The sequence below is a fragment of the Homo sapiens genome, chromosome 12 (assembly GCF_000001405.40).
Source record: "Homo sapiens chromosome 12, GRCh38.p14 Primary Assembly".
Classification (NCBI taxonomy): domain Eukaryota; kingdom Metazoa; phylum Chordata; class Mammalia; order Primates; family Hominidae; genus Homo; species Homo sapiens.
The window spans coordinates 81,164,825-81,189,562 of NC_000012.12; the positions used below are offsets into that span (position 1 = coordinate 81,164,825).

The window sequence follows — 24,738 nt, forward strand, 5'->3', positions numbered from 1 at the left end:
CAAGGACAGGGATTTGCTTCTTTTAAAGACAGAAATATGCTATTTCCTTTTAAAACAAGTAGCCATGATTCTGCTAACTAGTATATTCAACTGGACACATCATAGTCCTTTTCTTCCCTTCATGTAATGGGAAATAACATTTAAAAAAATCTAGTATATAGCAATCTGCCTTCTGTGTATATAGAATGAGAAAAATGATGACTCAGCTATTACTCTGATTCAGGCTATATAATTTGATCTTCCCAATTGGAAAAGATTATAAAGCTGATGCTAGCATCTTTTAGATTTTTCCCATGACTAGTTGTTAAAAAAATATTTATTTTTGAGTTCCTTTTTCCCTTTATGTATGTCTATGTTTTATGTTGGAGCTAGCAAGCTCAGTTATTGTCATAGCTCCATCAACAATATTTACTAATGTCTATTGTCAGCTCCAAATCATGCTAGAAGGTGATGGGGAAGCAGAATAAATATCAGATATGGCCTTCCACCAAAGGCTCTGACAATATATTCAAGGAATTAAGATTAATATAAAGTACAGAGGCCGGGCGCAGTGGCTCATGCCTGTAATCCCAGCAGTTCGGGAGGCCAAGACAGGCGGATCACGAGGTCAGGAGATCGAGACCATCCTGGCTAACACAGTGAAACCCCGTCTCTACTAAAAATACAAAAAAATTAGCCAGGCGTGGTGGTGGGCACCTGTAGTCCCAGCTACTTGGGAGGCTGAGGCAGGAGAACGGTGTGAACCTGGGAGGTGGAGTTCGCAGTGAACCAAGATTGCACCACTGCACTTGCAGCCTGGCAACAGAGCGAGACTCTGTCTCAAAAAGAAAAAAAAAAAGATTAATATAAAGTACAGAAAGCAAACAAATCAAGACACACCTAACAAACTCTTACACTGTGTAGAAGATGACAATTTATTTGTAAACTACATGGTGTCATCACCTATGATAAATACTCTACATTTAACTCTTGCATGCTGGCTTAAAAATCTGCACTAGGTTTTTAAGGGATGTTTGCAACTAGTAGATAGGAAGAACTTTGTGAATGAGACAATAACAATTAATAATAATTATTATTGATTGAGTGTTGAGTGATCAGAACTCTTCTAAGCACTTTTTATACATTGTTTTAATTATAAGTACAAACTCATGATGTAGATATTTTAAGTACCCCATTTACAGCTGTAGAAACTAAGAACAGAGACAGCAAATAAATTTGCCAGTGACACAATGGGGCTGGAGCTGGGATTTGAAACAAGCTTCTCTGGATTCAAAAGCAGGATTCCCTTGCCATAATCTGGAGAGGGACAATTGGGAAGTCCAATTGGACTTGGATTGTTGTGTAGTCCAAGATACGTGGCCAGGACTAGAATATCAGTGATCAGAATATTGAGAAGGAGGTTAGGGTGTCAGGTGGCTATTGTAAGAGATGAAAAGGGAGCTGAAAATGGCTCTGATGTCTTCAGCTAGGACAACCAATATAATGGCAGTTATCAACTGAAGTACTACAGTAGGAGGAACAACTGGTGGAGAGGGAAGCAATACTTTTTGTTTTGATAATACTGAGTTTGAAGGTTGTACTCAGATGTTTGTATGACATTGTGAAGTAAGATTTGATCAAGTTACCAGGTGAAGATTGAGAACAGAAACTTAGGAAATTCTTGAGGCTGAGGAAGAGAAACTATATAAATTGAGAGTTAGAAATTGGAGTCAACAGGAGAATCCGAAAAGCAAAGTGTACTAAAGAAGGGTGACGAGAAGGTTTTTCAGAGGATGAGGATCAACAGTGCCAAGTGCTACAGAGAAAAGACTGATAAGACAACTGAAGAGCACTTTGGTGATCAGGGTATCATTAGCCCCTTTTATGAGGGCAATTTCACAGGAAAGTTTGTTGTTTCATTTTTGACATGGAGAAATCTGAGCATGTTTGAAGGTTGTTTTGGACAAAGAATTGGATGTTATGGAGGGACCAGGTTTTGTGCAACCTCAGGTTGAATCGTAGTATGCATATGGAATAGCCACACTTCACTTCCTGGGCAGAAGTCTGGCAGTGTGATTAAGCAAGAACCCATTTAATTTCTCTGCTTGCAGCAAAGTCTCATTAATCACACTGAATAAGAAAAACCTTAATTTGTCCCTCCAGTACAGGATGGCAGAGTGACTGCACATCCACATGAAATAACTCAGAGATGAAAACAGTCCTGCTAGAAGCAATGAGCTACGAGCTGTATACTAGGGGTAAATGCTCTCTGTGACTACTGAGAATGTTAAATATGTCAGAGTCCCTAATTTGCTTAGCACTGCATCTGCAGAATTAGCAGTTTCCATTCTCTGCTTCATTTACTTGACATTAATACTTCCAAAGGTAAACTTTTTTTAAAGGGGATTAGATAGACTCTTATCTGCTAGATAGAAACAATGGCTTATTCATTGGGGGTTGGCTTCATTATAAGACCCCAAATTGTCAACTCTCAGAGCTAGGAAAGGACGAGAGAAGAACCAAACCAAAAGGATAGATCTAGACCATTTAGGATACACACCCTGCCCTAGTTTGTTTTATGCTGCTATAACAATACAACAGATGGGGTAATTTATATAGAACAGAAATTTATTTCTGAAATATATAGAACAGAAATATATTCTGTTCTATACAGTTGTGTAGGCTGTGACATTCAAGATCAAGGTGCTGGAAGGTTCTGTCTCTTGTTGCAAGATGGTGCCTTGTTTCTGTGTCCTCCAGAGAGGAGGACCATGTATCTGCACATGGCAGAAGAACAGAAGGACAAAAGAGAACAAACTCACTCCCACAAACCCTTTGTTTTAGCACCATTTGTCCATTCATGAAAGCAGAGCCCTCCTAACCTAAGCATCTTCCAAAAGGCCCCACCTTCCAACACTGTTGCACTGGGGATTCAATTTTCAACACGTGAATTTTGGGAGGCATGTTTCAGACCTTAGTACATATGTATCTTCAAAAATAATAGATTTATAGATATTTGTGTCTTGGAGCTTTAGCCATGGAGAAGTCTCACCTTCTCAGGCCTGGACACAGAGTTGTATCCTTAATTGAAGAAAGGAAATGACTCAAGCCTGAGGAATTGCAACTATGTGGGACCTACCACAAGGAGATAGTGAAGAGGGATTGTCAAAATAGCAAACTGATAGAAAGTATTAATCTGAACCATGTGACATTGCTGATATTTGCTTTGACTTATGAAAATGGTGATTCCATATGATTAAAGTAATGGGGAGTGGGGAAAGAAGACAGGTTGGTTGGAGACCTCAGATTGACCAATAAATTGTTGGTTCTTTGAGAATATTTATAACTCTTTAATAGAAGTGCATTAAAAGGGTAGTCTTGGCAATTTACCTATCTTGTGGAACAGAAAATGAAGGGATGTTATGGTCTCTACATGACCATCTGCAGTCTTGCTTCCTCCAAGCTGTTTCTGAGACCAGTAGAAAATCTTTAAGGAGCATTTTGTGTTTTGAGAGGCTTTCATATACTTCGACAATTTTTGTTTATAGACGCTTATTAGAATCCCATAGAAGCTATTGACTCCTCTTCCATAGGAAAATGAACATATGTACATACCTTAATTTAATTTCAGAATATCCATGAACTCCTCTGAAGTTCGAGTCAGGAACTCCGTATCTATGAAATTAACATATAATCTTCTCAAGTAGTGATACAACCAACGAAAACACTGGATGAGAGTGATACTCTTTAAAGGTCTCTGGGTAATACATAAAGAGCTTCTGGGTCAGAGCTAATCCTTCCATCTTTGGAGAAAGGTCAGTTGTACTCAGGGTGCTATGTCCTATAAATCATGACATTTATGTCCAGTCTAGAGTCTGGTTTATAGGGCAAGGCATAAATAATTAAGGACAGTGAAGCATTTCTCCCCAGTAATTTCCCCTGTATATGGTCATAATCAGATTTCAGTTATCATTATATTCACTTGTTAACACTTGGATTTAGCTCATTTATTTATAACAAATGGAGAAAATTAGAAACAGCTAGTGTTACATTCTAGGCTCATCCATTAGGGCAACCAGGCAGGTTGGTATTGAAAAATAGCCTTGTCTGAGATAATGTCTATCGAAGGACCATGTATCAGTTCTAAATCCTGGCCGCAGATTAGAATTACTTGGCTGCAGATTAGAATAACTAAAACACAACAGTGCTCAGCCCAAATCAAGGCCAATTGAATCAGAATCTCTGGAAGTGTGACCAGACATTGGTTTCATTCAAAATCATCCCAAGAAGTTCTACTGTATATTTAGGGTTAGTAACCACTGGATTTGAGTAATGTTAGATGGTGGTGTGAATAAGATGGAGAAAGGCAAGATGGCAGCCTATCCTTACAGGTGAGGCCTACAGAATGATGGTACATCCCTAGCAAGTAAGAATCAAGGAAGTCAGTCTGATCTGAATCAGATTGTATTTATAAGTAAATTTTCAATTATTAAAGGAGCGTCTGCCATAACACAAAGTCCTTCATCTGAGGATCTTAAGGCATAGGACAATTATCCCATTTGGCTTTAAAGCAACATAATGTTTTGAAAATTGGAACAAAATAATGTGAGTTATAGAGAAAGGGGCATTGAGAAAGAAAAGGCCCATTTTTGAAGAGATTGTACACCCTCTTTTTTCATACTTTAAAACTTACGAAAGGGAAAACATTGGAAACCTCACCATCCCCTGTTCCAGTTTTACAATTTATCTCCCTTGAAGGTTGTCAATCTTATATGTTATGATAGTTAATTCATATATGAGCAATGTCTTTTATTGTTTTTTAATACAAATGGAATTGTACAAATGCTATGCATACTATTCTGCATTTTAATTTTTTTTTCACTAAATAGTATATCCTGGATAACTGCTTATGTTTTAACAAGTTTTAAGTTTAAATGTTGCTGTCCCAAGCACTCATCCCTTGATAAAGACACATGACCTATAGTAGAAATTCAACAAATGCTATTTCTAGTTTTATCACTCTCCTGAAATAAACAAAACAACTCTCTGCATCACCTATCTGCTGAAATAAAATTTGCTACTAGTCGATAAAGGATGCTGCTGTCTTCACCTTAGAACTGCTGTGGAAACATTCCTTGGGTGACATTTCTCAAAAGTAGTGCTCAGAAAGAGACTAAATGTATTTCTAATCCTGCCACAAAAAAAGAGGCAAAACTGCAGTTGACTCAAAAAGTTTTATATCAGTGTCTGGGAAATCACAAGTAGTCTTAACCTCAAGACCTGAAGAAATGGAATCATAGGATTAATCATAGGATTAATAATAAAGCAAATTTTTTTGCCCAAAGATTTAACTCTAGTGTTTAATTATAATTTTATTTTGCTAAGTGGTTGTATTTCACTGCTTTCCTGTGTTGAAAACTTAACCTCAGTAGCAAATATGTGAGAAGACAGTAACTGGTTTTCTGACTGGGGCCTTGTCATCTACAATACATATTAATACAATGAATCATAACTGGTAGAAAAGTATATATGGATGTTAACATTAAGGCATTTTGGTAACTGTTTTGGTTTCTGTGCTTTGTACCATTGTTAGCCACATTATAAATCTTGCTAATATTAGCAATTGATGTTTTATAAATCTCTGAGGTTAAATTTTATAGTTTCTAACAGCTGAAAGCTTAGAATTTTGGCTTCATCATTGTAGACATCCCTTTCTGCCTTTATTATCTAGGAAGCAACTAATAATGTAGACTTAGTTTGGGAGAAAGGAATTAAATAAACAACTGGTAACCACATTGATTTGAGTTTGAGGAGCTTTAAAGTTGGTATTTTTGGCTGCATTATTGCTTTTGGTGTGTATGTTGTTTGTTTAAAATCCCTGCATTCTTAGAATCTTCTTATTTCTAAATTGAATATTGTCTGGGTTATTTCCCCTTAATGAAAACCAAGTTCTAGAATCAACGTCTTTTTCTTTAGGCAGTTCAGTATGCTTAGTGTGTTACTGGCTACCTTTAAAAAGCATTGTGAAGAGATTTTATTGCTTATGTGTGCATGCTTGTCTATGTGTGTGTGCGTGTGCATGAAGGCAGGAGAGAATTTTAAATAAAATAAATAAGCCATTGAGCCACTTTTATTTACTGTTAATAATAAAAGATTCTTACAGGCTTTGCTTCAGCTTTCTGAAGCTACTAGTGGTGGTAGGTACTGAGAACATATAAGTCCTCTGTTTATTACTGCATTCTTTCTGTTTATTGGACACAAATAGCTTGCAGCATATATTATGCAATTTCTAATAATATTATCCCATACACATGAGAATGTATGTTCCATTAAAGCAGGACCTTATCCGGCTTATTCACAAAATCGTTCCCAGAATATTTATTAAATAAATAAATATACCAGTGTTGCTCACTTTATTATTTGTTTGTATGTAAACAACAGTTTCTGATGAAAGATCTTGTTCTATGCTGCATTATATTACCTGAAGTGTTTACATTATTCAGGGCTTAATATATATGTTAATCATCAGACTATTTTTGAAACAGGTAATTTCCTTAATTTCATAATTGTTTTAATTGAATTTGACATTGAATAGAAGGTCTTAAGAAAGAAAAAACTAAAGTATATAAATATTAAGTTAATTTTAAATAGGAAAACATTTTATTCATAACATTGAATTATCTTCTGGGGAATGGACAATAAAACACAAAGCAATTGAACTTTTTCTATGTTCAATTAACTTATGAAAGAACATTGTGGGATTTTATGAATCGCTTCTTTACTATTCTAATAGTAATGCTACATTATCATGATTTTTATAATCCATAAGTATAATATTGACGAAAATTAGTTTGGTACAGAGTCAGACTTGCAATAGAAGTTAAAATCCTATATTATAAAAAGTATGATGTAGTTTTTTTACTAATACAGTCATATATTACTTAACAATGGAGATATGTTCTGAGAAATGTATCCTTAGGAGATTTTATCACTTTGTGTACATCATAGAGTATACTTACACAAACCTAGTGGTATAGCCTACTACATAGCAGGGCTACATGGTATAGTCTATTGCTCCAAGGCTACAAACCTGTACAACATGTTATTGTGTTGAATACTGCAAGCAATTGTAACACAGTGGTATTTGTATAGCTAAATATATCTAAATATAGAAAAAGCGCAGTAAAACTATGGTATCACGCCTGTAATCCCAGCACTTTGAGAGGCCGAAGGCAGGCGGATTGCCTGAGGTCAGAAGTTCAAGACCAGCCTGGCTAACATGGTGAAACCCAGTCTCTACTAAAAAGACAAAAACTAGCTGGGCATGGTGGCAGGTTCTGTAATCTCAGGTACTCGGGAAGCTGAGGCAGGAGAATCCCTTGAATCCGGGAGGCAGAGGTTGCAGTGAGCCAAGATCCTGCCACTGCACTCCAGCCTGAGAGTGAGGCTCTGTCTCAAAAAAAAAAAAAAAAAAGGCCCTGGTGATCCATGCCCTTTTTTTTAGTGTAACAATGGACTGCTAAGACACTCGCTCTTTTAAAAGAGCAGACAAAATTTTGCCTATCACAGCAAGTTTACACTGATGTGTGCCTGCTGTATGAGCACATCCCAGCACAGTTGTTCTGTCCCTGGAATCCTTAATTCTTTAGGGGCTGTCTCATCCGCTGTAGTATTTCGGGCATGCACCTGTGTCTTTCTGGCGTGCACCTGTAGTCCCAGCTACTCGGGAGGCTGAGGCAGGAGAATTGCTTCAACCCAGGAGGTCGAGGTTGTAGTAAGCCAAGATTGCACCACTGCACTCCAGCCTCCACAACAGAGCAAGACACTGCCTCAAAAACCACCAAAACAAAGCAAAAAAATATGGTGTCATAATTATCTAAAACATTGCTATATGGTATAGGACTGTATTTTCAATATTTGATCTGCATTTAATATCATTAAACATAAGAAATTGGAGGCACTGTAAAATACTGTGTCCTCCTTGTAGGTGGTCTTACATGGTATATCATTTTAATTATGATATTAATATCACCCTTTAATGAGTAATTATTTTCTCATGACACTGGCACTGTCGTAGAATTCAATTTCAGTTGGCTATAAAATATCTTTCTTCAGTGGAGGTTAAATTATCCTACATTATTATCTCAGTGCCTTTAGCTTATTGAGAAAATATTGGCAAAATGATTTATTCTTATTTAGCAGGCAAGTAAATGGAAGCATAGACAGGGTAAGTCAGTTGCACAAGGTCAATTAATAAATCATTTTCACTTGGGTGAGATCACGTTTTCTAAGGCACAGTGTCATACTCAAGGAACTGATCAGTGCCTGAGACATATCAAAAAAGTAAAAATAAAATGTTTACCTTGTTTGTTAGAAAGAATAAAGTTGTAGACTCATTTCAGACTGATGTACTAAAGCCTTCAAAATTTGTGAGTGAAATTATGTACATGTGTTGCCAGGCTGTATTTTGCAGCTTTTTGTATTATTTGCATGTGTTGATTTGTATGAAGAGTAATGAAATAATTTGAAATAGTGCTTTAGACTAAACAGTTGTGATAATAAAAATGAATTTTCAGCTGCAGGAAATACTTTCTTGGTATTAAAAGAGCAAAATAGAAAGCAATAGAACATAAAACAGATTGAAATAGTTTTTTTTAAGAAAAGAGGAACATAATTACACTAAATAATATTAAAGAAAACCATTTAAAAATAATAAAAAAATAGTGTCCTATCAATGATCTAATCAATGAGTATTGAATCTAAATTATTGGACAACTATCTTATACCTCATTTATAGTCCATTCCTTTTTCTAAATTAAGAAAAAATTAATAGGTCTAACTGTCATGATATCATCATTTTTTTGTTGTTCCCTATTTGGGGACATTGTTGAGTTTGCTACTAGCAAATCCTTTGCTCTTTTTACCTTAGTTCAGTGTTTCCTACATGTCATTTACAGAGTTTCATGGGAAACAGAGATCGAGAATTTAATCACAGAGGTTTTGGAAATATTAGATACAGTTACCCTTCTCGTAGAAATTAGTAATACATCTTAACCCTTTTAAGGTTTCAAGAAATGATCTAAGATTAAAACACCCTGTTGCCATTTGTTTGCCTCCAACTTCCACAAACGGATTTTGGATATATATATATATATCCAAGACATTTATTAACATTGCAGGCATCTTGCTTTAGAAACACAGGAAGAGGTAGCAGTGATGAGGACTGATTATGGAAGAAGGGGATGTGGCTTGGCCAAGATAGGTTTTATGGGTTAGTTAGAATGTTTGGAGAGTTACTGACTTATTTCAGTAACTTGCCTATTTTCCACTTTTCAGAAACATCAACTAAACCTTTCTTTGTCTTTTGAATTGTATGGCTTGCCAAATTGTGAGATTTTTATGCATGATTTTCCATTGAACATATACAATGTTATTTTGAGTCTGTGGAAAACATGCACTTTGGCACATCTTATTGGATTATTTTTAATTCATAGGAGTTACTTTTCTTGGAGTGAGACATTTAACTGAAAAGGTCATTGCTCAGGAATCACTGCTTTTTCAGATTTTTCTTTTTTCTCAAATGTTTTGAGAAATACTGTTGTCATTTTTAATAGTGATCATGAAAAATACATTAAAGTTCAAAATTCATAACAACCATATATAGTTTTTTTTGGCAAATACAAGAATGTTTTATATTCTTAATTTGAATGTGGTATGTATTTTTAATTCTTTATTTTTCAAAACTTGATGAAGAAAAAATTGTAATTTGAAAGGTTTTAGGATACTAAAATGGAGCAAACAGTCTCTGTTATGCCTGGGTATTTGGTTTGCTTTATTTGTGATAGAACATGGAAATATTTTAAAACTAAGATTTGTTGAAAACCCCTTATTATTAATATTGTTGTGTTAAATGTATAACTATTGAACTGTCAGTGAAATATGACACATTTTATCCAGTGACATTTTAAATGAATCTCATTGTAGGGGAAGCCTGTGGGAACACCAGATGCTGGCGCTTATTTCCGTGTGCTTGCAGAGCATGGAGTAGCTGCCTTGTTTACAGCACCAACTGCAATTAGAGCAATCCGTCAACAGGACCCTGGGGCAGCTTTGGGGAAGCAGTACTCTCTGACAAGGTGACGTTGGGATGCACAGGGCAAATGACATTAGAAAGTGCAATCAAAATGAATAAGTGAACATTATTTTTTTTCTGGTACTGGAATACTCTTATAGGAAGAGCCAAAAGATTCAGAGTGTTATTAAGAACAACTTGTCTAAATATAATTTTGAAATAGTTGGAATTTTAACTCTGCTTAGAGATTTTAAAATATTATATCATGTTAATTTCAGTTCAAATATTATGAAAATATTTCTTTTTAAAATCACTCTTGTTATATTTTCCTTAAAAGGTAAAATGCCAATTCTGACTTAAAATGCACAGATAGATGGATACAGATGTACTAACATCTGCCTTTTGAAAATAGAAGAATGGGTTAAATGAAGGGGCAATATTTGAATGCATGTATACAGATAAAATGTGAAAAATTATAGTCCAAATTAAATATATTAAAAAAGTGAAGAACAAAGAGACTTAGGTAAACACAGAATAATAGTGGGAGACATCAGGACCACACTGACAGTATTCAATAGATGATTGAGGCAGAAAACTAACAAAGATATTTGGGACTCCACACTCAATCAAATGGACCTGACAGACATCCACAGAACACTCCACCCAACAACAACAGAATATTCATTCTTCTTATCTGCGTATGAGAAATACTCTAAAATCTACCATGTGCTCAGCCATAAAGCAATTCTCAACAAATTAAAAAAACATACCAGTGACACTCTCAGACCACAATGAAATAAAAATAGAGATTAATATCAAGAAGCTCTCTGAAAATCATACAATTACATGGAAATTAAACAATCTGCTCCTGGGTGACTTTTGGGTAAACAATGAAATTAAGGTAGAAATCAAGAAATCCTTTGAACTGAATGAAAACAAATGTACAATATACCAGATTCTCTGGGTCATAACTAATGTAGTGATAAGAGGAAACTTTATAGAACTACATGCCCATAAAAAAGTTAGAAAAATCTCAAATTAACAATGTAATGTCACACCCCGAGGAACTAGAAAAACCAGAGCGGACCATTCCCAAAGCTAGCAGACAAAAGAAATCAACCAAATTAGATCTGAACTGAAAAAAATTTAGATGCTAAAAAACCATATGAAAGATCAATAAAACCAAAAGTTGAGTTTTTAAAGAATAAAAATCTTGATAGGCCACTAGCTAGACTATTTAAAAAAGAGAGAAGATCCAAATAAACATAATCAGAAATGACAAAGGGAACATTAGCATTGATTCAACAGAAATGTAAAAAATCCTGAGACAATTACAAATACCTCTATGCACACAAAGTAGAAAACCTAGAAGAAATGGATAAATTTCTGAAAACATACAATCTCTTGAGATTGAACCAAGAGGCTGGGTGCTGTGTCTCATGCCTGTAATCCCAGCACACTGGAAGGCCGAGGCAGGTGGATCACGCAGTCGAGACCATCCTGGCCAACATGATGAAACCCCATCTCTATTAAAAATACAAAAATTAGCCAGGTGTGGTGGTGTGGGCCTGACCTGTAGTCCCACCTACTTGGGAGGCTGAGGCAGGAGAATTGCTTGAACCCAGGAGGTGGAGGTTGCAGTGAGCCAAGATCACGCCACTGCACTTCAGCCTGACAACAGAATGAGACTCCATTACAAAAAATAATAATAGTAATACAAAAATAAAAAAAAAATTGAGCCCAGAAGAAATTGAAACCCTTAATGAACCAATAAGGAGTTCTGAAAATGAATCAGTAATAAAAAAAACCTACCAACCAGAAAAAGCCCTGGACGAGATGAATTCACAGATGAATTCTACCAACATAAAGAAGAGCTGGTACCAAACCTACTGAAACTATTTCAAAAAGTTGAGGGGGAGGGATTCCTTCCTAACTCATTCTATAAGGCAAGCATCATTCTGATACCAAACTCTGGCAGAGATGCAATGAAAAAAGAACTTTAGGCCAGTATTCCTAATGAACATAGATGCAAAAATTCTCAACAAAATACCAGCAAACTGGAACGAGCAGCACATCAAAAAGCTAATCCACCATGATCAAGTAGGCTTTACTCCTGGAATGCAAGGTTGGTTCAACATATGCAAATCACAAAATATGAGTCATCACATAAAAATAACTAAAAACAAAAGCTGTGTGATTATCTCAATAGATGCAGAAAATGACATAAATAAAATTTAGTATCCCTTCATTTTAAAACCCCAAACAAGGCATCAAAAGAACATACCTCAAAATAATAAGGCTCATCTATAACAAATCTACAGCCAACAATATACTGAACAGGGAAAAGCTGGATGGATTCCCTTTGTAAACCACAACAAAACAAGGATGTGCACTGTCACCACTCCTATTCAACATAGTTCTGGAAGTCCTTGACAAAGTAATCAGTCAAGAGAAAAAAATAAAAGGCATCCAGAAGGAAAAGAGGAAGTCAAACTATCTCTCTTTGCAGATAATATGATTCTATACTTAGAAAACCCTATAGTCTCTGCCCAAAAGCTCCTAGATCTGATAAACAACTTCAGTAAAGTTTCAAGATCCAAAATCAAGAGCCTCTGCACAGCAAAAGAAACTACCATCACAGTGAACAGGCAACCCACAAAATGGGAGAAAATTTTCACAACCTACTCATCTGACAAAGGGCTAATATCCAGAATCTACAATGAACTCAAACAAATTTACAAGAAAAAAACCAACAACCCCATCAAAAAGTGGGCGAAGGACATGAACAGACACATCTCCAAAGAAGACATTTATGCAGCCAAAAAACACATGAAAAAATGCTCACCATCACTGGCCATCAGAGAAATGGAAATCAAAACCACAGTGAGATACCATCTCACACCAGTTAGAATGGCAATCATTAAAAAGTCAGGAAACAACAGGTGCTGGAGAGGATGTGGAGAAATAGGAACACTTTTACACTGTTGGTGGGACTGTAAACTAGTTCAACCATTATGAAAGTCAGTGTGGCGATTCCTCAGGGATCTAGAACTTGAAATACCATTTGACCCAGCCATCCCATTACTGGGTATATACCCAAAGGACTATAAATCATGCTGCTATAAAGACACATGCACACATATGTTTACTGCAGCACTATTCACAGTAGCAAAGACTTGGAACCAACCCAAATGTCCAATAATGATAGACTGGATTAAGAAAATGTGGCACATATACACCATGGAATACTATGCAGCCATAAAAAATGATGAGTTCATGTCCTTTGTAGGGACATGGATGAAATTGGAAATCATCATTCTTAGTAAACTATCTCAAGGACAAAAAACCAAACACCGCATGTTCTCACTCATAGGTGGGAATTGAACAATGAGAACACATGGACACAGGAAGGGGAACATCACACTCTGGGGACTGTTGTGGGATGGGGGGAGGGGGCAGGGATAGCATTAGGAGATATACCTAATGCTAAATGACGAGTTAATGGGTCCAGCACACCAGCATGGCACATGTATACATATGTAACTAACCTGCATATTGTGCACATGTACCCTAAAACTTAAAGTATAATAATAATAAAATAAAAAAAAACATTTCTATACACCAATTATATCCAAGCTGAGAGCCAAATAAAAAATGCCATCCCATTCACATTAGCAATGAAAAGAATAAAATACCTAGGAATACACCTACAGGTAGGTGAAAAATCTCTACAATTGGAATTACAGAACACTACTGATAGAAATTAGTGATGACACAAATGAATGGAAAAGCATTCCATGCTCATGATTAGGAAGAATCAATATTGTAAAAATGGTCATACTGTCTAAAGCAATTTACAGATTAAATGATATTCTTATCAAGTTACCAATGACACTTTTCACAGAAGTAGAAAAAAACTATTCTACAATTCATATGGAACCAAAAAGAGCTCAAATAGCCAAAGCAATTTGAAACAAAAAGAACGAAGCCAGAGGCATTATACTACCTGACTTCAAACTATATTACAAGGCTACATTAACTAAAATGGCATAGTACTGCCTCTGAAACAGACACATAGACCAGAGGAACAGGTTAGAGAACCCAGAAATAAAGCTACAGATGTACCACCATCTAATCTTTGACAAACTTAACAATAACAAGCAATTGAGAAAGGACTCCATTCAATAAATGGAGCTAGGATAACTGGCTAGCCATATGCGTAAGGTTAAAACCAGACCCCTTCCTTTCACCACATACAAAAATCAACTCATCATGAATAAAAGACTTAAATATAAAACCTAAAACTATAAAAATCCTAGAAGAATTTATACAAAATAGCATTCTGGACATAGGCCCTGGCAAAGATTTCATGATGAAGACTCCAAAAGTAATTGCCAAAAAAAAAAAAAAAAAAGAAAAAGAAAAAAAAAACACAAAAAAAACCCAGAAACTGACAAGTGCAATTAAACTAAAAAGCTTCAGGACAGCAAAAGAAACTATCAACAGAGTAAACAGACAACGTAGAGTATGGGAGACAATATCTGCCAACTACGCGTCAGAGAAAGATCTAATATCTGGAATATATAAGGAGCTTAAACAATTCAACAAACAAAAACCAAACAACCCCATTAAGAAATGGGCTCACGCTTGTAATCCCAGCACTTTGGGAGGCCGAGGTGGGCAGATCACAAGGTCAGGAGATCGAGACCCCAGTGAAACCCCATCTCTACTGAAAATATAAAAAATTAGCCAGGCGTGGTGGTGGGTGCCTGTAATCCCAGCTACTCGGAGAGGCTGAGGCAGGAGAATGGCGTGAACCCGGGAGGTGGAGCTTGCAGTGAGCTGAGATCGCGCCACTGCACTCCAGCACTCCAGCCTGGGTGACAGAGCGAGACTCCGTCTCAAAAAAAAAAAAAAAAAAAGGGCAAAGGACGTTGCATTAGTCCATTCTCACATTGTATAAAGAAATACCTGAGACTAGGTCATTTATAAAGAGAAGACGTTTAATTGGCTCATGGTTTTGCAGGCTGTAAAGGAAGCATGATGCTGTCATCTGCTCAGCTTCTGAGAAGGCCTCAGGAAACTTGGCAAAGACATGTGATCAAGCTAAATGCCCATCAGTGGTGGACTGGATAAAGAACATTTGGTACATATACACCATAGAATACTACACAGCCATAAAAAGAGTATCATGGCCTTCATGGCAATATGGATAGAGGTGTAGACCATTATCCTAAGCAAATTAATGCAGGAACAGAAAACCAAATACTGCATGTTTACTCTTCTAAGTGTGAGCTAAACATTGAGTATGCATGGACACAAAGAAGGGAACAATAGACACAAGGGGTAGAGTGTGGAGGATCAGGATCAAAATACTACTTCTCAGGTACTATGCTCGTTACCTGGATTACTTGATAATCTGTACACCAAACACCACAACACACAATTTACCCATGTAACAAATCTGCACATGTGACCCCTGAACCTAAGATACAAGTTGGATAAAACAAAGTGAAGAAAAATATTTTATTTTTGTTTTGTAATAATGTGCTTTGAATAGTCTAGGTATTTTTCTGCTGGCTTATGGATATATCTATATCTATCTATCCATCTATGTATCTATCTATGTATCTATCTGTCTGTCTATATTTTTAAATCGAGACAGAGTCTCACTCTGTTGCCCAGGCTGGAGTGCAGTGGCATGATCTTGGCTCATTGCAACATTTGCCTCCCAGGTTCAAGCGATTCTCCTGCCTCAGCCTCCCAAGTAGCTGGAATTACAGGTGCCTGCCACCACGCCTGGCTAATTTTTGTATTATTAGCAGAGACAGGGTTTCACTATGTTGGCCAGGCTGGTCTCAAACTCCTGACCTTTGGTTATCTGCCTGCCTCAGCCTCCCAAAGTGCTGGGATTACAAGAATGAGCCACTGCGCCAGGTCATGGACCTACATTTTTATTTAATCTGATGCATAATCAAAGATAATTATAGCAAGTTGCATCTTCAAGGAGAATGCCAACATCAATCTCATTGAACCTCTTTGAATTAGTTTACTATCCTATAACTAAAAGAAGAGATTTATAGTTTACTGAAGTCAAAAAGTGGGCTTGAATTAAGGCTGCTTATATTGTATAAGTGAAATGCCAGAGTATTTTACTTTTATGTTTCTGTGGCCCAAGGGAATTAAAATAGATATTATGCCCTGAATCCCAGTGTCACTGTGACTGCCTGTGAACCATGTCAGAACCAATATCAACAAAGGCCTCTTCAGCTAAGACTTCCCAGTGTTAGAAAGACAAGAACAGTAGGATCTCTAAAGCCCTTATCATAATAGCCTACACAATCAATATCACTGCCACAAAATCATGCAGCCAGGTCACTAAGGCATCTGCAGTCATCACTAACACTGATCTCACCTGGAGAAGCTGTATGGAGACTACACCACTGCACCCACCTAGTACCAGAACAACTGCACTCTGCCCAACCGATGCCCTCCAGCCTGTCGTCAGGTGAAAGTTTTTCCCTATGAAAGTCATTCTCTGAAGTTTGGAAGAGGAGACTGTACCAGAAGATGCGCAAGCATTAATGTGGGAATACCAGAAACATGAAAATGCAAGGGAACATGATGCCACCAAGGGAACATGAGAATTTCCCAGTATCTGACCCCCAAATTTACAGAAATTTATGAAGTTATTGAAAAGGAATTTAAATTAATGATCTTAAGAAAACCAAGAGAGACAAAATAGTATACAAATAGAAAATTCAATGAAATCAGCAAAGTAATTCATGATCTCAATGACAAATTCAACAAAGAAATATATATCATAAAAAAGAATCAGAAATCTTGAAGCCAAAGATTTCAATCAATTAAGCAAAAAAAAAAAAAAAAAAAAAGCAATAGAGAGCTACAATAGTAGACTAGATAAAGCCAAAAAAGAATCTGTGAACTTCTTGAAAATCAGTCTTTTGAAATGACTCATTCACAGGAAAAAATAAAAAAAGAATGAAAAGGGGTGAAGACAGCCTATGAGATTTATGGGACGTCATTAAGTGAAGAAGTATTGCATTATGTTCTTTAAGAAGGGAAGAGACAGAGAAAGGGACTAACAGCTTATTTAATGAAATAAATTATGAAAAATTCTGAAAACTAAGTCTTGGGAGAGATATGGATATTCAGATCCCTAAAGCGCACAGATCCCAAAATAGATTAATCTAAAGAGGCACATTATAATCGTATTATCAAAAGTCATATACAGAGAGAATTTTAAAAGCAACAGAGAAAAGCATCAAATTACATATAAGGGAATTTCCATAGAACATTAGCAGATTTCTCAGTAGAAGCCTTACAGGCCAGGGGAAAATGGCATGGTGCTGAAAGGAATAAGAATAAAACAAACACAAAACTGCTAGCCAGACATGCTGTCCTTCAGGAAAGAAGGATAAATAAAGTGTTTCAAAAATAAACAAAAGCTGAAGGAATCCATTATCATTAGACCTGCCTTATAAGAAACAATTAAGGAAGTCCTTCAAGGAGAAACAAAGGGATGATTATTACTAACATGAATACATACAAAAGTATAAAACTTTCTTCTAGAGGTAATGGTGGTGCATAAATCATACCTACACCTAGTATGAAGGTAGAAATCAATTAATTCATTAATAATAGCCAATACATTGGTTAGAAGCACACAATGTAAAAAGATGCATATTTTGACATCAAAAACAAATTGTGTATCAGGAGGAGCATAAAAATCTAGAGATTTTGTATGCAACAGAAGTTGAGTTTTTATCAGCTTAAAAAAGTATATCTGTAAGATTGTAACCAAGCTGCTTAGCTTCAAACTGCATTTTAAAAACTGTTTTTCTTTCTTTCCTCTTCTCTCCCCAGTCTCAGGACACAGCATTGAGACAAACTACAAATGCATTTTCTAGAACGTACTGTGAACCTCCATTCTCTTTCCCTTTCCACTTTATCCAACCATGCCTTATGCACATTTATTTACCTAAATGCTTGTCAAATGCACATCATGCTCACTTATCTGGTCATGTATTTTCTTAGAAGCTTCAGGACATGAATACTGACACAGAACAGACACCTCCAGAATTCTCTCCCCATACAGACCACCAAAAATTTTAACTGGCAAAGGGTCCAGCTGCTCACTGCTTGTAGAAAGAAGCCAAAATAACAAGAGTGAGGTGTGATAAAAAGAGAGGAGACTTTATTATCCATGCTGGCAAGGGGAAAAGTGGAAATTATTTTGGAAGAATTCCACCCACTTTTCCCCGTGTTAGCACAGACAATTAAAACTCCTCTCTTTTTATCACACTTTGTTTTGTGATTTTGGTTTCTTTCTACAAGCGGCAAACAGCCGGAGCCTTTGCTGGTTACAAGATGTTTTATGTAAACCTCATGGCAACCACAAAACAAAAATCTACAACAGATACACAAATGATAAAGAGAAAGGAATCAAAGCTTAGCACTACAGAAATTATCAAATAACAAAGGTAGACAACAAGAAAGGAAAAAGGAACACAGAAGCTACAAAATAACTAGAAGATAAATAAAATGGCAGTAGTAAGTTCTTACCTATTAATAATAACTTTGACTGTAAATGGATTTTGTTCCCTAACCAAAATCATGTAGTTGCTGAATGGATTAAACAAGATTCACTGAAGTGACCCACTTAGGCCTTAAGGACACATGAAGGCTGAAAGTAAAAAGATGGAAGGGGAACATCCATGTAAATGCCATCCATAAGAGAGCAGGAGTGGTTATACTTACATCTGATAAAATAGACTTCAAATCAAAAGCTGTCACAAGAGACACAGGTCATTTTTTAATAATAAAAGGGTCATTCATTAAGATAACTCAACCACTGTAAATATTTATACACCCAGTATTGGATGAGCTAAATATATAAAGCAAATATCAATGAACATGAAAAGACAAATAGATAGCAATACAATATGGTACTTCAAAATCCCACTTTCAACAATGAATAGATCAAGCAGACAGAAAATTAATAAGGTGATACTGGACATAAATTGAACTTTTGACAAAATTGCCCTAACAGACATATACAGAACTTCCCTTCCAACAGAAGCAGAGTACTTATTTTCCTCTAGTGTACACAGAACATTCTCCAGGATAGATTGCATGTTAGGCCACAAAAAAAGCCCTAACAAACTTAATAAGATTGAAATAATATTTAGTATAATTTTAGACCACAATGATATGAAACTATAAGTTAATAACTGGAGTAATCTTGTGTAGTTCACAAATATGTGGAAATTAAACAACATGCTCTTGAACAATCAATGGGTCAAAGAAGAAATCAAAAGAACAATTTAAAAACATCTTCAGGCAAATGATAATGGAAACACAGTATACCAAAACTTATGGGATGCAGCAAAAGCAGTTCCAGGAGGAAAGTTTATAGCAGTAAATGCCTACAATTAGAAAGAAGAAAGACCCCAAATAAATATTCTAACATTACCCCTCAAGGAATGCAAAACGAATAAACAACTAACCAAAAATTAGCTGATGGGAATAATAAATATCAGAACAGCAGTAAATCAAATGAAGTACAGAAAAACCATAAAAATAATTAATAAAACTAAAGTTCACTTTTTGAAGAACAACAAAATTTACAAACTCTTAATGAAAAGAAGAGAAAAGACTGAAATAAATAAAATCAAAAATAAAAGTGAAGAAATTCTAACAGGCTTCTCAAAATAAAGAGGATCGTAAGGGAATATTACGAAGAATTATATGCCAACAAATTGGATAAACTAGAGAAAATGGATAAATTCCTAGAAAAATATAAGCTACCAATATTAAGTCAATTAAAGTGATTTGAGAAGTAATCAAAACCCTTCCCACAAAGAAAAGCCCAAAACCAGATGATTTTAGAGCTGAATTTTACCAAACATTCAAAAATAATTTATATCAATATTTCTAAAACTCTTCTGAAAAATAAAGCTAGAAGTGTACTTCCAGACACATTTTATGGGGCCAGCATCATCTTAACACCTAAGTTAGATAAAGATATCACAAGAAAACTATGGTTAATTTCTCTGAGGAACATTCATGCAAAAATTCTTAGTAAAGTATTATCAAAACAAATCCAACAACACATGAAAAGATTATACATTGTGTTCATGTGAGATTTTTCCATGGCATGCAAAACTGATTTAACGTACATAAATCTATCAGTGTGATACATCACATTAACAGGATCATCATAATTAACATAAAAAAAGCATTCAACAAAATCCAACATCCTTTCTTGATAAAAACCTTCAACAGTTTAGGTATAGAAGGAACGTTTATAATAATAAAGACTTTATGAAAAACCTACAGCTAACATTATAATCACTGGAGAGAACTGAAAACTTCCACTAAGATCTGGTAAGGCAAGGATGCCTACTCATGCCACTTCTATTCAACATAATACTGGAGTACTAGCAAGAACAATCAGACAAGAAAAAGAAATTAAATGTATCTAATTGAAAAAGAAGTAAAATTATCTCTATTTGCAGATGATGTTGTCCTATATGCAAAAACCTCCAAAGATACCACAAAAACGTTATTACTAATAAATGAAATCACTAAATTGCAGAATACAAAATCAGCATACAAAAATCAGTGGCATTTTTCTACACAAATAATGATCTAACTGAAAAGAAATAAAGAAAAACCCCACATACAATAACATTGAAAAGATAAAATAAAATACTTTGGAATAATTTTAACCAAGGAGGTGGAAAACTATATTGGTACGGTAAAACTTTACATTAAAACTATAAAATATTGATGAAAGAAATTGAAGAAAACACAAATAAGTGGAAAGATAGCCCATTGCTCATGGATTGGAGGATTTAATATTATTAAAATATCCATACTATCAAGAGCAATACACAGATTCAATGCAATCCCTATCAAAATCCCAATGGCATACTTCACAGAAATAGTAAAATTATCCTAAAATTTGTATGAAAATGTAAAAGACCCCAAGTAGGCATAGCTATTCTGAGAAAGAACAACAAAGTTGGAGGCATCACACTTCCTGATTTAGAAGTATATTACAAAGCTATAGTAATCAAAACAGTAGCTTACTGGCATAAAAACATAAACATAGATCAGTGTGGCACAGGACAGAGACCCCAGAAATAGATCCAAACGTATATGGTCAACTAAGTCTTGACAAGCACACCAGGAAGACACAATAGGGAAAAATAGTCACTTTAATAAATGGTGTTGGTAAAACTGGGTTTCCACATATAAAAGAAGGAAATTGGATCCTTAACCTACATTATACACAAAAATCAACTCAAAATGGATAAAAGACCTAAGTATAAGACCAGAAATAATAAAACTTCTAGAAGAGAACATGGGGGAAATGTTTCTGGCTGTTGGACTTGGCAATGGTTTTCTGTATTTCATATCAAATGCTCAGGCCACAAAAGCAAAAATGAATAAATGGAATTACATGAAACTAACAAGCTCTGCACAGCAAAGGAAACAGCTAACAAAATGAAACAGCTGCCTATGAAGTGGGAAAGATATTCACAACTCATATATCTGATAAAGGGTTAATATCCAAAATTTTATAAAGAACTCATACAGTTCAATCGTGGAAAAACTAATAACCTGATCAAAAAATGGGCAAAATACCTGGAAACACATTTCTCCAAAGAAGGCATAAAAATAGCCAGCATGCATATGGAAAGGTGTTCAACATCATTAATTATCAGGGTAATGCAAATGAAAACCACTATGGGATATCACCTCATATCCATTAGATGGCTATTATCAAAAAGCAAAAGATAACAAATGTTGACAAATGTGTAGAGTAAAGGAAACTCTTGTACTCTGTTCTTGAGAATGTAGATTGTTACAGCCATTTTAGAAAACAGTATGGAGGTTTCTAAAGAAATTAAAAATAGAACTACCATATGATCCAGCAATCCGTCTTCTGGGTATATACTCAAAGGAAATGAAGTCACCACCTCATGAACATATTTGCATTCCCATGTTCATTGTGGCATCATTCACAATAGCAAAGGGATAGAAACAACCTGTGTCTGTTGATAAACAAATGGATAAAGAAACTGTGGTACATATATGCAATGGAATACCATTTCGTTCTAAAAAAGAATGAGATTTTGCCAGTTGCCACAACATAGATGAAGCTGGAGACACTACGTTGTTAAATAGGTCAGACACAGAAAAATATTACATCATCTCATTTATATGTTAAATTTTAAAACAACAACAAAAAAAAATCAAAAATACAGATATACAGAAGAAAACCATGGTTACCAGGATTGGAAGAAAGGGGAAATGAACAGATATTCAGATGAACAGGTCAGAGGATACAAAGCAGCAGGTATGTAGGATGAACAAGTCTAGAGATCTAGTGTACAACATATAACTTTCCAACTTTAGCAACCACCATTATTAAAATTAAACAAGAAAATGTACAAGCAAAAACTTAATTTCTTCATAAAGTTACCAATATTTATTTCTAAAAGCTCTTAGAGATACCTATGTCTTATCTACTGCACAAATATGAGCTCATATTCAGAGCTAATACTCCGGTTAGAATGATAAAATGACAATGCCTGTATGTCTGGCTGTCTTTGAGTTTGTGGTGGAGTTGCATATCAGCATTTCAAATATCCAGCTCTCATTATTACTAAATCATTTTTTTCATATAGCTACCAATTACCACAACAGTTGTCAAATCAGACAAGTAAATAATATAAACCCGTTTTGTGAAAAAATAAAAAAAATTATAGTTTATACAAGTTAAAAAAGCATTACCTCTATCTGTTTCCTATATTTTAAAGCAACAAGGGTTGTTTGAGTATATTTTTATCCCTCTGGTGCTTAGAATAAAAATTTTAGTTTAGGAGGAAGTTTTTTATTAAATTGAGAAAGCAAGTTGAGGCTGATAGCAGAGAAATGGTTGCTATCTTATTTGTGTATGTATGACTCAAGGTTACGCAGGTAAGCCTGAGGCTACATAAATATGAATGTGCCCAAATCTGGAATGATTTTAAATCCTCTAATGATGTAGAAAGCAGGAAAGCAAATTAGAAGGATGACATTATTGCTAAGCAAATTTGAGAATAGGATACCTCTAAAGGGAAGTAAATTATATTCACTGGCTAAAAAAACTTATACTTTTTTATTTAGTATTTTTTTGAATTTAGAGATATTCAGAGTATCTCTTCTGTGATATGCTTGATAAAAGATATTGAAAAGTGTTGTTATTGAACAAACCTTAAAATTTAAAGATGATATATATCTCTGATAGGTTAGTAAATAATGAAACTGATCTAGCCTTAGGAATATGAGAATTTTCATATATTATATCAAAATAATATTTATGGTTTCAAGTTTATGTCATTACTTTAAAAAATATTTCATATGAAGTAGAAGTAATTTAATAGGGAACTATGCATACATTTATATTTTAACTTTTATTGAGGTATATATACAGAAAAGAACATAAATCAGAATTTTAAAAGTTATAATTATTACAAAGTGAACATATCCATTGAACACATCCAGATCAAGAAATAGCACATATCCTGCATCGCAGAAGCCCTCCCTTTTGTCCTTTCCCAACCATTATCTCTTCTTGGCTTCCCAAAAATATGCCTTATCCTGACCTGTATCACTGTATATTAGTTTTGCTTGTTTTTTTGAACTTGATATAAATGGAATCATACAGAATGTATTCTTTGATACCTGGCTTCTTTCATTTACTTAATGCCTTGAGCTTCATCCATAAGTTTGCGCGTCAAAGTGGTTCTTGCATTTTGATTGCTGGTTAGATCACTCTTTATGAGTATTTCAGTTTATTTACCTATTTTGCTGTTGAAATAATTTTTACTTTTATTTTTTAAGTTGGCAGATACAGTCATACATTTACTCCGTACAACATGATGTTCAATTCCAAAGTATAGATACACTGTGGAAGGACTAAACCTAGCTAATTAACACATACATTACCTCACAAAGTTACCATTTTTGTGGTGAGAACACTTTACATTTATTCTCCTAGCATTTTTCAAAAAGAATATATTAACTTTAGTCATCATGTTATTCCCAAATCATCTTGGAGTTATTCCCCCTATTTAACTGAAATATTGTAGCCTTTGGCCAATACCTCCCAACTACCCTCTCCCCCTCCAACCACCCTGGCTGCTGGCAACCACCATTCTATTCTCTATCAGATCAGCAGTTGAATTCTTTTTTGATTGTTTCTAATTTTTTGACTCTTATGCAGTTGCAGCATTAATAATACATGTCTTTTTGGTGTCCATACACATATAGTGCTGTTGAGCATATATAACTAAGGTATAATGGTTACATTACAGAGTATGTCAAACAGTTTTCCAAGGTTATTCACCAATTTACACACTCACTTGCAGTGTGTGATTGTTCTAGAGTTTCCATGTCTTCACCAGAACATGATATTTTCAGTATTTTAAATTCTAGCCATTCTGATTGTCATGTAGTGATATCTCATTATCATTTAATTTTCATGTCAAAGTTGTTAATGAGGTTGAATGAGGTTGATCACCTTTTAATAATTTTTTGGCCATTGGAAGGTCCTCTTTTATAACATGCTTATTCAAGTCTTTTGCAAATTTTATTTTCTCTTTCTTGTT

The 24,738-nt window shown here is 35.1% G+C and overlaps 1 protein-coding gene across 6 annotated transcripts in view; it reads left to right on the forward strand.

Annotated features, from left to right (window-relative positions):
* ACSS3 (acyl-CoA synthetase short chain family member 3) overlaps positions 1 to 24,738 on the forward strand; it is a 183,340-nt gene that overhangs the window by 86,954 nt on the left and 71,648 nt on the right. For all 6 annotated transcript variants that reach the window (XR_944720.4, XM_047429549.1, NM_001330243.2 and 3 more), the window contains one exon: positions 9,964 to 10,115. Coding sequence is in view for 5 of the 6 variants with exons in the window: in XM_047429549.1 (XP_047285505.1) it covers positions 9,964 to 10,115 (152 nt within the window). In the remaining variant the exon portion in view is untranslated. The remainder of the gene's footprint in view (positions 1 to 9,963; positions 10,116 to 24,738) is intronic.